The following is an 11798-nucleotide window of genomic DNA, read 5'->3' as shown; positions in this document are numbered from 1 at the left end:
GTTGGGGCTGGGAATTCAGGGCCAGGATGGGGGTCCCAGGCTAAGGAGGGAAGAACTCTGGGAGGCTTATCAAGCACTGGGGTACCCCGATCACAAGCCCAAGGGCTGGCCCCAACACAGATGATGGTGTCTCCGTGGCCAGAAGACAGAAGCCACGGGAGACACAGGTGGCTGCACTCAGCCACACTCAAGAACCAGCTACGGCCAGCAGCACTGTCCGCCTCCCCAGAGTGGGCCTGGGGCTCTCCATTCATCCTTCAGCCTTCACACCAACCCTACTGGGGGCCCCTACCACCAGGCCCATTTTCCAGATTGAGAAGCTAAGGATAGGAGACAAATCCCTCATGATGCAGGCTCCGGGGGCTCAGGCCCAGGCAATGCTCAACTCCCACGGTGCTCCCCACGCGCCCAGCTGGGCCTCATCACACTTCAGAGCCCTCCTCCTGTTTCAAGGCTCTTCCTGGGCAACAATGTCAGCATAGCCAGGGGGGCGCCCCCGATTCACAGATGAGCAACCAGAAGCCCGACAAGGTGTGAGACCTGGGACTGGCAGGGTCTGCCTGAGCACATGGGTGCTCCCCTCCACATCCCTGGCCCGGCACAGGTGGGTGGCACCACTTCCTCACCAGCACACAGACCTGGGCGGGACGCACTGGCCGCCTACAATACAGCCCCTCTCAGGAAAGCCAGGCTCCCCACCCTCGAGGAAGGAAATAACCTTTCCCCAAACCAGCACTTGCTTTGCAACAATCTCCATATATGAGGGGAGAGAGAGGCATTTCTGCAACGTTTCCAAATTCCAATAACTGAAGACAATGGCACAAAATGACGCACGGCTTGACCCACGAGGGGCCCTGGGAAAGGACGTGCCCAGCTGAGGCGAGTTTGTGGTGTGGGCGTGCAGTGGTGCCCCGTACACGAGGGCAGCTCGCCAGGCAGGACCTGGAGGTGGACGGAGCTGGCTCCCGTCCCAGCTCTTCCTCCTCAGTCGCTATGTGACTGCAGGCAAGCACGCCCCACTCTGCGCCTCAGTTTCCCGGCCCTGTCACTCTCACAGGTCTCCCACCTGCCGCCTTGTCCTCTCCAGGCCCACTCCTACACCTGGGCTGCAGAGGGACCCTTCAACCTCACAGTCTGGCCGCGCCTCCTCTGCTCGGAACGCCCTGAGGCTGCCTGTTGCTCGCTCGCAGACCAGGACTGGAGGGCCTCCGTTTTCAGGGTCTAGTTGGCCTTGCCAGCCTTACTTCCCACTCTTCCTCCAAGCCCCCACTCTGAAAGAAGCCAGGCTTTCTTCTGTCCCCAGGTGCCCCTCACCCCTGTACCTTCATATCACAGTGCCTGCGCCACCTCCAGGAAGCCCTCCCTGACCACCCAGGCTCAGCTAGATGCCTCCTCAGTTCCCATGGCTTCAGCGTTCTCCTCCAGGATGGCCCCGACAAAGCATTTCAGAGCAACCCATGCAGGCACCCCTGGGGATGACCTTAAAAGGGGCCCTGTGTTCCGCTCCTCTGTACACCAGCCCCTGGCACAGCATTGGCCCACACCAGAGGCTACTGCCAGCACTGTGGGGTGATGAAGAGAATCCAAGGCCCTGGGCACACTCCCTGGCAAAGGGTTTCATAGAGCTGCTAAAGCAGGAACGCCAACTCCAGGGAGCCCCTCCCTGGCCGCCCCCACACAACACCCAGTCACAGCTCCCAGCCCTCCCGAGGTGAAGCCACAAACCCACTGCTCCCACCACCCTATAATGCCTGGCTGGAGGTACAGCCCTGTGGTCCCCTCTGCCCCTGTAGCATACAGGAGCAGCGCCTCTGTCTGGTCTATTGGGAGGGTAGACCTCTGCAGCCCCAGCATTCAGAAGGCGCCCTGGAGGCAGAGCTGCCTGCAGCCACACGGACACCTGCACCACCCACACTCGGGGACCTGGGGAAGGAAACTGGATGACAGAGGGCTGCTAAGGACCAGAAGCCATGCATGGTGTTTACGTCCACCACCGGGCAGGACAGCCGGCCTCACCCTGGCCTCCCCTTTCACTCACTCCACTTCCAATCCATCAAGAAATCCTGGCAGCCCCACCTGCAAAGTCAGTCCAAATCTGACCACTCTCACCTCCAATGCTGCCACTGCCCTAATCCAAGCCCCAACTTCTCTCACCTGGAAGCTGCATGGATCCCCACAGCTGCCCTCCAGCCTGTTCCCTGCCAGCAGCAGTGTGGGGGAAGGGACCTTTAGGATCTCAATTAGACCCCACCCCTCCCCAAACCAGAATCCACCAGCAGCTCCTCATCACACCCAATCACCTGCACCTGCTGTGAGTGAGGATCACTTGAGGCCAAGAGTTCAAGATCAGCCTGAGTAACAAAGTGAGACCTCATCTCTACAAAAAATAGAAAATTAGCTGGCTGGTGTGCGTCTGTAGTCCCAACTACTTGGGAGGCTGAGGCTGGAGGATCACTTGAGCCCAGGAGTTTGAGGCTGCAGTGAGCTGTGATCACACCACTGCACTCCAGCCTGAGAGACAGGACGAGATCCTGTCTTTAAAAAAAAAAAAAAAAAGGAGGGGCCGGGCACGGTGGCTCACACCTGTAATCCCAGCACTTTGGGAGACTGAGGCGGGCGGATCACGAGGTCAAGAGATGGAGGTCAAGTGGCTGTGCAATCTTCACCTTAGGCCCGAATTTGCTGCAGAGAACCCAGTTTCACTTACCATCAGCATGCCCCAAGCATTTACGAAGCACCTATTGCGTGTGAGGTGTGGATGGGCTCAGGGCACTCCCCCCACGGCCAAGGAGACCAAGTCCTCCCACTAGTGGCTCAGTAAGAGGGGCAAAGAGCTTTGCTTTGGAGGGAAAAGATCCTGGGCTGAACCCCAGCTCTCCCCCTTGCCTGCTGGGAGGCCCTTTCTCTACCTCCCCTTCCCCGTCTCTTAAATAGGTGCAAGAGTTCCACCCTGCAGGAGGGATGTCGGGATCTGGGAAGAAAAGTGATGAATAAAGCCTGCCTCGGAGAATGCTCTCTGGCATGAGCTCTTGCTTCACGGGGTCCCCATACCACCGTCCCCCACAGCCTAGCAGGAAGTGTCTGCCACCATCACAAAGATGCCCTGTGGCCCAGGGCCCTGGGCACCACTCATTGCTTCAACGACTAAGGCCTCGAAGGGTAGGAGGCCCGCCCAGGGCTTCCCCAGCCATGCATGGAGGACCAGCCTGGGCCTATGCTTGAGGCGGGCAATGGAGCAAAATCAGCCCAATGCATGCAGCAGTCACAGCCGCACAAAGGCCACGCAGGCCAGGCAGGAGCTGAGAAGGCATGAGAGGGCCAGGTGGGGACGGGGACCAAACAGCGCCCCTGCCCCATCCCCTGGGTTGGGGGTGGGCAGCACCAGCCAGGAGATGCAGATCCTGAACTACCAGACCTTGTGACTTTTCAAGAGAAGACGGAAATCCGGACTTTTACGTGAAAACTGCCAATTTGTAAATGCAGGCAGCTAATTAATTTTTTAAAATAATAATAACATGGTGAGAGCCAAACAAAACATGCAGGGCCAGCCACAGCCGGGGCTGGCAGGTTTGTGCCTCCAGAATAAGATTCTTTGACTTCATCCCCTGCTCACCCCCATCACACAGCTCAGCTGCAGAAGGGGAGGGCGGGAAGTCAAGGGTGCACCCCAGGGGAGTAGCTCCCCCTCCCTCTCTTCCTCCTGCTGGGGAGTCTTCACCCCATTTGGCATATGGGGAAGTTAAGGCCCAGAGCCCCTATCAGCCACAAACACACACCAGCTCCCAATCCATGCCAGGCTGAGGGAACACTTCTCAGCTGCCACCCAATTCATCAGGGCTCCCTCTGGGAGGGCCCGGACCAGCATCTCAGGGGCATCAGGGTAGACACAAGCACCCAAACCATCCTGTTTGACTTCCCTTTTTCTCTTTTTGGCCTGTCAGGGGACGCCTGCTGGCTCAGGCCTGCTTGGGACTGGCCCAAGTGATCACTGCAAAGCTGATATGGGCAACTCCTTGTGGCAGCAAAAAAGGGAGGGAGGGCACCCCTATTTCGGAGACTGGAGCAGGGGAAGGGAGAGAGGATGCACGGAGGTGAGGAGTCAGGCCCAGCCTGAGGCTGAGCCACCCCCATGCTCCCCACAGCCACCCAGGTCCCATGGTAAGCAGCCTCTGTCAGGAGGAACCACCTCCCTCCTCCAAAATCGGCTCCCCACCCCCTAGGACAGGGGAGGACTGCCCATGGAGTGCCAGGGGGGCTGGGACTGTGAAGTCGTGGGGGTCTGTGACTCGTATGTGAGACTCACAGTGTGTGGCACTCCCAGTGTTTGTGATTCCAGGTATTTGAGGAGCACACGCATGTGAGAGACACATGTGTGATACATATGATGGAGATATGCATGTGATAGCTACCCCTGTGTGGCGGACGTGTGTGCGTGTCAGAGGGCAGTAAGGGCACATGTGTTTATCAGAGACACAACTGTCTGCTAGAGGCATGCCTCGGAGGGGTGCCAATGTGCAAGGCATGTGTGTGTGGAGCATTGTGTGCTAAGGGGACGTGAGATGAGTGTGAGAGATTCTGGCCTGGGGGAGCTGGCGGGGTGAGCATGGGGCTGGGAGAGGGAGGATGTGGTGACAGGCAGGGTGGGCGCGCCAATGCAGAGCGTGCAGAAACTTCTGCTTGTGTGAGTGCGTGTGTGGCGGTGAGTGTGACTTGGGGGTGATGGAGGGGGTAGTGTTAGACCAGGGACTCTAGTCTTCTTTCCCCGAGGGGGTTGACCCGGCCCTCTGGACTGGAGGGGCGGCAAGGTCCTGCGGTCGGGGTGGGGGTGGGCAGTGGGACCAGAGGGGATGACTGGTGGGAGCCGGCCCAGGGGGGAGAAGTGAAACCCAGAGCGGAGGAAGCTGCGGACCTGGGGTGGGGGAACCCGCCCGCGGACCCCTGGCCCCCACCCCGCGCCGGCCTCTGTGCCCGCATCTGTACACTGGGTCGCGGCGCTCGCGGGCCGTCCCCGCGCTGGGACCGGGAGAGCGAGACCCGGTCGGACCGGCGGCGCGGGTGGAGGCGCGGGCAGCCCGCGAGGCGCGTCCGAGGGTCCGCCGAGCCGTCGGTGCGTCCGAGCGCCCCCGAGTCCTGAGCTGCGAGGCGCGGACCGACGGGGATGAGTCCGGGCGGGAGGGGCCGCGTGCACTCACCGCGGGGCACTGCGCTCGGCGTCCGTCCGTCCGTCCGCCCGGCCGTCGGCGCGTCGAGAGCCCGGGCGGCCCCTGGCTGTGTGCGCGCGGGGCGGGGCGGAGGCGCGAGAGGCGGGACCAGCCGGCCCCCGGCCCCCTCCCCTGACTCCGCCTCCGCCTCCGGGGCGGGGTCTCGGCCGCCCGCCGGAGAGGGGGCCGGGCCGGCGCCGCTCGCTCAGAGCCCAGACTCGCTGACCCGGCTCCTAGAGGCCGCCCGGCGCGCTCGCTGCGGAGCCCGCACCCTCCCTGCGCCCGGCCTAACCTCTGAGTGCCAGACCTGGCACTGCTGCCCACAGGGCAGGGCCAGGGGTTGGGGTCCGGCCACCTCAGCCAGCCTGAGCCTCAGTGATCACCCCTGGAAGATGGGCCCAGCAGCCTTGGGCACATTGTGAGGGCCTGAGGGGCCCGGCTACAAAACTGCCCAGAGGCCAGGCCCTGCCTCCCACCCGCCTTGCTTCCTACCCTGGGGGCCTGCCTGCAGCCCCACTGCTGCTGCATGTGCCTGGGCAGACGGTACTGAGCCCCCAGCTTTGGAACAGGTTCAGTTTGTCCTTTTCCTCAGCCCAGCTCTGATGCCTGTGACCACTGTGTGACCCCCGGGGTGTCTCTTCCCCCAGCCCACACCGATCCCTTTCTGGGTCTCTTTCGGGGTCTCCATCTCTGATCTAATGTCATCTCTCTGTCTCCCTTGGTTTGTCCCTCTTGGTCTCTGCATCTCCCTCTGACTTTATCTCTTGGTCTCTGTGTCTCTCTGAGTCTCTCCCATCCCTGTCCAGAGACGTATGGCCTGGTGGTCACCACCTCACATCTGAGCAGCAGCCATGGGCCCAAAGTGTGCCTGCCCCCACCCCCAGGGGTCTCCCTGCAGCCCAGGACAGGGGTGAGGCAGCCAAGAGCAAAGGCACAGGGCAGGGCAGCTGCCTGCCCAGGGCCGCACAGCAGAGAGGAGGTGGAGCCAGGAAGGGCCCATTGGCTTAGATGGGGCCACCCACAGAGAAGCCAGGAGCGGATGGAGGGGCCAAAGCCTGAGCTGGCAGCCTGTGCCTGGCCTGCCCCAACTTGTGTCTAACCCCAGGCAGGTGCCTTCCCTCTGGGCCCGTTTCCCCATTGGAGCTCTGTGCTTGCTGTTCCCTCAGGGCCTTTGCCATTGCTGTTCCCTCTGCCTGGGATGCTCTTCCCCAGATCCACCGTGGCTGACTCATCCCTGCATTAAGATGCAGCTGAAATCCCACCACCCCCAGAGAAGCCCTCCCTGAGACCCCAGCAGAGGTAGCAACTACCACTCTCCACCCTGGGACTCGGCCGCACTGTTATTACAGTACTTGTCACTGGCTGATTTCTCTTATTCATTTATAAATGACTATAGGTAGGATCACCTGGTCATTAAGAAAGTCACCACACACCAGCTGTGTGACCTTGGGCAAGTTACTTCACCTCTCTGGGCTTTATTTCCTCAACTGTAAAATGAACATAACGACATCAAAGCCTATCTTATAATGTTATTGGAAAGATCAAATGAACCGAAATGAGCCAAACCGAAAGTACAGATGCTCCTCGATTATAATGGGATCATGTCCCCATAAACCCATCGTAAATCGAAAATATAGTAAGTTGAAAATGCATTTCATCCACCTAACCTACAGAACATCATAGCTCAGCCAAGCCTACCTTAAATGTGCTCAGAACACTTCCATTACTAGCCTACGGGTGGGCAAAATCATCTAATACAAAGCCTATTTTATAATGAAGCATTGAATATCTCATGTAACTCATTGAATACTGCACAGAAAGTGAAAAACAGAATGATTGCCTGGGGATTCCAAGTAGGGTTTCTCCTGGGTGTGTACCACTTTCTCAACATCCTAAATTCAAAAAATCCTAAATCGAACCATCGTAAGTCAGGGATTATCTGTACTTTGGATGGGACTTGACCCAAGGGAGTGCTCAGTAAATATCTGATGAGTAAATGACAGATTGAATCCTTCCTCCTGTGGGGGAAGGAGGGGCAGTGGCCTGGGGTGATAGAGACCCTGGGCAGCTGCTAATGAGGCTCCCTTCCCCAGGCCTGGGAGGAGAGGCACTGAGCCAGATGCAGCTCACTCTGCAGCCCAGGGAGCCCAAGGCCTGGCCCGCCTTCCACAAGATAAAGTGGAGACACTTCTCCCGTCCTGTTATCTGAGCCGGAGATGCGGCCAAAGCGGCTGTCCCTTCAGAGCCCTTCCAAGACTGTTATCGCAGACAGAGCACGCATCACCCACCAGGAATTTGGGGCCCAGGGCCTGGCTGAGAAATGGTTGGAGGAAGTCAGGCTGATAAGGCCTAGACAGAATGATCACAGTGGGCAGCGAAGTTATTTACATCAGTGACAATCTCACCAGCTCCCTGGGCACTGAGGCGCCAGGGCCAGCAGGCATGAGGCTCACTTGTCCCACCTGTGCAGCCTGGATTGGGAAGAGAAGCCTTGCTGAGCTTCCTGGGTCTGCATCCTCACTGGGTAGCCTTGGGGAGGCTGCCTACGTTGGAGCATGGGTTCTGGGACCCAATGGCTTTGATTTAAATCCACATCCTCCCTGTATGACCTTCAGCAGGTGGCTTCAACCCTCTGGCCTCAGTGTCCTAGCCTATAAAGAAGTTCCTGCCTTATAGGATTGTTTTGAAGTTAAGATGCTTACAGCAGTGTCTGGTATATCATAAGCCCTCCATTAAATGTTTGTTGTTGTTAATCACAAACAACATTAACTTGAGCTGTTTGGATGAGAAAAGAAATTTGTGATCACAGTGTGCCTGGAAACCAAGCTTCGGGGAGAAAGGCCCAGTGACAGGGCCCAAAATCTCGCTGCCCACCTGGGTGCAGACAGCGTGAGGGCTGCCCACTCCTTGAATGGTGGGCCCCGGACTCCCCGCCAGGACTTCTCCCCAGCTCCCTCCAAGGGTCACAGTGCCTCTCCTTCCCCAGCAGTGGGTTCGGCCCTGAGCCTGCTTAGTCATCTCTCCCACCTCCCATTTGACAGCAGCTGCAGCCACAGTGGGGGCAGTGTGGGTCTCCCATCTGTCCCCAGTTGCAAGAGATACTAGGAAAGTCAGTGTCCAGGCCCCCCAAGACCCTCGAGGGGAAGAATTCCACACGATAGGAAAGATATCTAGACATAGGCCCACCTCCCCCAGGGGACAGCCCCACCTGCCATCCTGCTGCCCAACGAAGACCCAGGACACCACACCCGCTCCCAGGCTTTAGAACAAGGCTTCTCAGACCTGGCAGTGCATCTGAATCACCTGGGGAATTTCTCTTTTTTGTTTTTTTTTTTTTGTTGTTGTTGTTGTTTTGGAAATACCACTGTCTAGACTCTACTCCAGAACAATTAAATCCCAGTCTCCAGAGGGTGGAGTTGGGCATCAGTACTTTTTTTTTTTTTGTAATCCCCAGTAGGTTGTAAGATGTGCTGCCAGATTTGAAAAACACCACTTGGGGTACCTCCCTCTAGCCTTCCTCTTCCAGCTTTGTCCCTCCCCAGAGTGAAGAGTCTAAGAGAACAATGAGATGTGCCCGCCAGGAGTCCCTGATGACCCCCTACTCCTTTCCAGATCATATGCCAGTGCCCGGAAGTCCCTGCTTAAATGGCCCTGACCCCCAAAGCCTGCACAAGTCTCTTTCCGTCTTCCCTCCTCCCAAGAGTGGACTGCACACCAGTCTATACACCCCAGGCCCAGGCCCGAGGGCAGCTGCTGGCAGGTAGCATGAGCAGAGCATGGACATGTGGGCACACAGTCACTCCTGGGAGCCGGACACAGTCACTCCTGGGAGCCGAGTTCAGGCTCTCTCTGGTCTGGATCCCCACTGCATCTCCAGCCTTTCACCCACCTACACCCCGTCCTTACATCCCAGAGCCCTACTCCTCACCCAATGAAAAGCTGATTTCTTCTCTTACACCAGGAACTTCCCCACCTCTCTGCCTGTCCATCCCACTGTGAATGCTGTTCCACCTACCCACATCCTTCCTACCCTGTGGCAGAAACCCTCATCGGCCCCCACCATTCATGTAAGAAACATAACTATAGAAATTTTAGATGGCTTTCTGGCTGAAGATTTCACTCCCACCCTCCCTGGCAGCCAGGTGGGACCACAAACATGTCGTGCTGTTGAATTGGGGCAGAGTAATGTGGACAATTTCTGGCTCATGGCCTTAAAGGAAAAGATGATACAGCCACTTTGTATTACCAGGTGAGAGTCACATTTGCATGGAGGGAGTCCCTGGGCAGCAGAGGAGCACCACACCTGGCCTGTACCTTCACATGAGTCTTTTATAGCCTTGCTATAGCTAACAGCCTAACCTACACCCAACTAACAACCACCCCTCCCACTTCAATATCGAGCTCAAATGCTCTACTAAGAAGTCATAGACGAGCTGTGTTCTCTAGTCTCCCACCAAAGCTCATGACTCAGAGCCTTCCAAGAAGACCTGTGCAGTCTACATCTTTGGTTTCTGCCCATCCCCATCCCCTGCTCCAGCTGCCAGCCCCTGAGGCTCCTCTGCAGAGCCTTCTTGGCTCCGTTCTGGGTTGATGTGGTTCATTCGGTTGATGTGGTGTGGCCCACTGGGGAATCCCCTCCCCAGCCACGGTGGTTGGCTCAGGGAAGGGTATGTGGCCCTAGTGAGGGGCATCTGTATGTAAGGCAGATTGTGCCTGCCCTGGAGCCAGGGGAGGGAGCGCTCTTTCTGCCCTATTGCCCAGCTGGGGGTGTGAGCCAGTAGCTTGGAGACCACCTCTTAGGGGAACTTGCTGAGAATGAAACCAGCTCAGAGGTAAGGGCTGAGAGGAGGAGGGGAAGGAGAGAGAGGCTTTCTGATGGTATGATGTTTAAGCACCTGGTTATAGCTCAGCCTGAAGCCATCTTGCCCTTGGATCTTTCAGTTACAGGGGTCAATAAATGCTCTTTGGGGCTTCAGCCAATTTGAGTTGGGGTTTTGTTTTTGAGTTGGTTTAGTTGGGGTTTCTTGCACCTGAGATTTGGTGTGCTCACTTCTATCACCCAAGAGCCTTGGCTAATGGAATTCATCTCACTGAGACAACATTACCCACCAAGTCCAGCACCTGCACTTCCCAGGCCCCTTTGAACACTGGTGTTTGCCATTGAGGTTCCATTTTTTATGATGTCTAGGCTCTCTCCAAAGGTGGTTTGCCTTAAATAAAGGGGGCAGCGACTGTGATGAAAAATAAACTCGTGTCTGTTAACCATATACTGTGTACTAAGCATTTTAACAGGCACCTTACACGGATTAGTTCATTTAATCCTCTACACAATTCTAGAGGTACTAGATATTTCCCCCATTTTACAAATAAACTGAGGCTCAGCATGATAGCTAGGGCCCCCACCTGGAGCAGCCCAATTCCAGAGTCCGCACGCTTTTCCCTGCCCTTCTAGAGGAAGAGGGAGAACATCGTAGTGAGGTAGTGGGGAGCTGGGGTGTGTGGACAAGGACTGGGTGACCCCTTGGCAGAGTGGCAAAAAGGGCTGAAGTGCATAGAATAGAGTGTCTGGGGAGAGGAGTGGGGGAGAGGCATTACAACTTTTATTCCACTCTGGGATTTCTCTGCACTTTCCCAAGCAGTCTACTTATTCCAGGAAAGTCGCCTGGCCTCACAACTCCCGTCTGGGAATGGTCAGCCCCTACCTCCTATGGCCCGGCTCGCTCGTGACTCATGCTGGCCCATTCCTTTGCCTGGTGTGATGAAATTTGGCCCAGCCTTGCTGTTGGGGCCAACTCTTCAGGCAGGGGGAAGGGTGAGGAGGCAGGGTGCTGGTCTCAGAGGCTGGGACCTCCCTAGCAGGCTGGAAAAATAGGCTGAGCAGCCTCAGAGCCCCTTCCCCACTGCAGCCAGCCAGAGAGGGAAGAGACTTGCCTAAGGCCACACTGTGAAATCCTAAGGGGCTGAAGGGGGCCCGCAGGACAGCGAAGGCAGCCCAGAGACAGGGGGCCTGGTCCCAGAAAGGCTCTTGCCCACTCTCAACCTCAGTTTCCCCATTTGTTAAATGAGAGAGACTGGCTCTGATTTTAATAACTAAGTTAGAAACTACATGTAATAAAACATTCAATATTGGGAGATTCTATCTTCCCAAGAGAATCTCATCCAACCACTTTTGGTTTTTTTTGTTTTTTTTTGTTTTGCTGGGTTTTTTGTTTTGTTTTGTTTTGGTTTGGTTTTTTTTGAGACAGAGTCTCACTCTGTCGCCCAGCCTGGAGTGCAGTGGAGCAATCTCAGCTCACTGCAACCTCCAACTCCCAGGTTCAAGCAATTCTCCTGCCTCAGCCTCCCAAGCAGCTGGAGATATGCTACCACACCCAGCTAAATTTTGTATTTTTAGTAGAGACGGGGGTTTCACCATTTTGACCAGGCTGGTCTCGAACTCCTGACCTCAAGTGATCTGCCCACCTCTGCCTCCCAAACTGCTGGGATTACAGGCATAAGCCATTGCATCCGGCCCCAACTGCTTTTGTTTTATACATATACATGATATATATGAATGTATGTATGTATGCCTGCCCACAGCTTCTAATAAATATTTTC

At 56.6% G+C, this 11798-nt stretch overlaps 1 protein-coding gene across 2 annotated transcripts in view, besides 3 other annotated features; it reads right to left on the bottom strand.

The window, feature by feature from the left end:
- Positions 1-5276, bottom strand: part of FBLN2 (fibulin 2) — an 89280-nt gene extending 84004 nt beyond the window's left edge. For both annotated transcript variants that reach the window (NM_001004019.2, NM_001998.3), the window contains exon 1: positions 5193-5276. The gene's annotated coding sequence lies outside the window, so the exon portion shown is untranslated. The remainder of the gene's footprint in view (positions 1-5192) is intronic.
- Positions 2698-3304: an enhancer, noted in NCBI's record as "H3K4me1 hESC enhancer chr3:13592597-13593203 (GRCh37/hg19 assembly coordinates)". NCBI's record gives its function as "activates a minimal SCP1, AML or CMV promoter by ChIP-STARR-seq in naive and primed H9 embryonic stem cells {active_cell/tissue: H9 hESC(naive and primed)}" and the evidence as "EXISTENCE:reporter gene assay evidence [ECO:0000049][PMID:30033119]".
- Positions 3305-3913: an enhancer, noted in NCBI's record as "H3K4me1 hESC enhancer chr3:13591988-13592596 (GRCh37/hg19 assembly coordinates)". NCBI's record gives its function as "activates a minimal SCP1, AML or CMV promoter by ChIP-STARR-seq in naive H9 embryonic stem cells {active_cell/tissue: H9 hESC(naive)}" and the evidence as "EXISTENCE:reporter gene assay evidence [ECO:0000049][PMID:30033119]".
- Positions 10501-11038: an enhancer, noted in NCBI's record as "H3K4me1 hESC enhancer chr3:13584863-13585400 (GRCh37/hg19 assembly coordinates)". NCBI's record gives its function as "activates a minimal SCP1, AML or CMV promoter by ChIP-STARR-seq in naive H9 embryonic stem cells {active_cell/tissue: H9 hESC(naive)}" and the evidence as "EXISTENCE:reporter gene assay evidence [ECO:0000049][PMID:30033119]".

This window comes from Homo sapiens, chromosome 3, assembly GCF_000001405.40.
Source record: "Homo sapiens chromosome 3, GRCh38.p14 Primary Assembly".
Classification (NCBI taxonomy): Eukaryota; Metazoa; Chordata; class Mammalia; order Primates; family Hominidae; genus Homo; species Homo sapiens.
The sequence above is the reverse complement of the archived record's forward strand: the minus strand, read 5'-3'. Positions and strand labels throughout refer to the sequence as shown.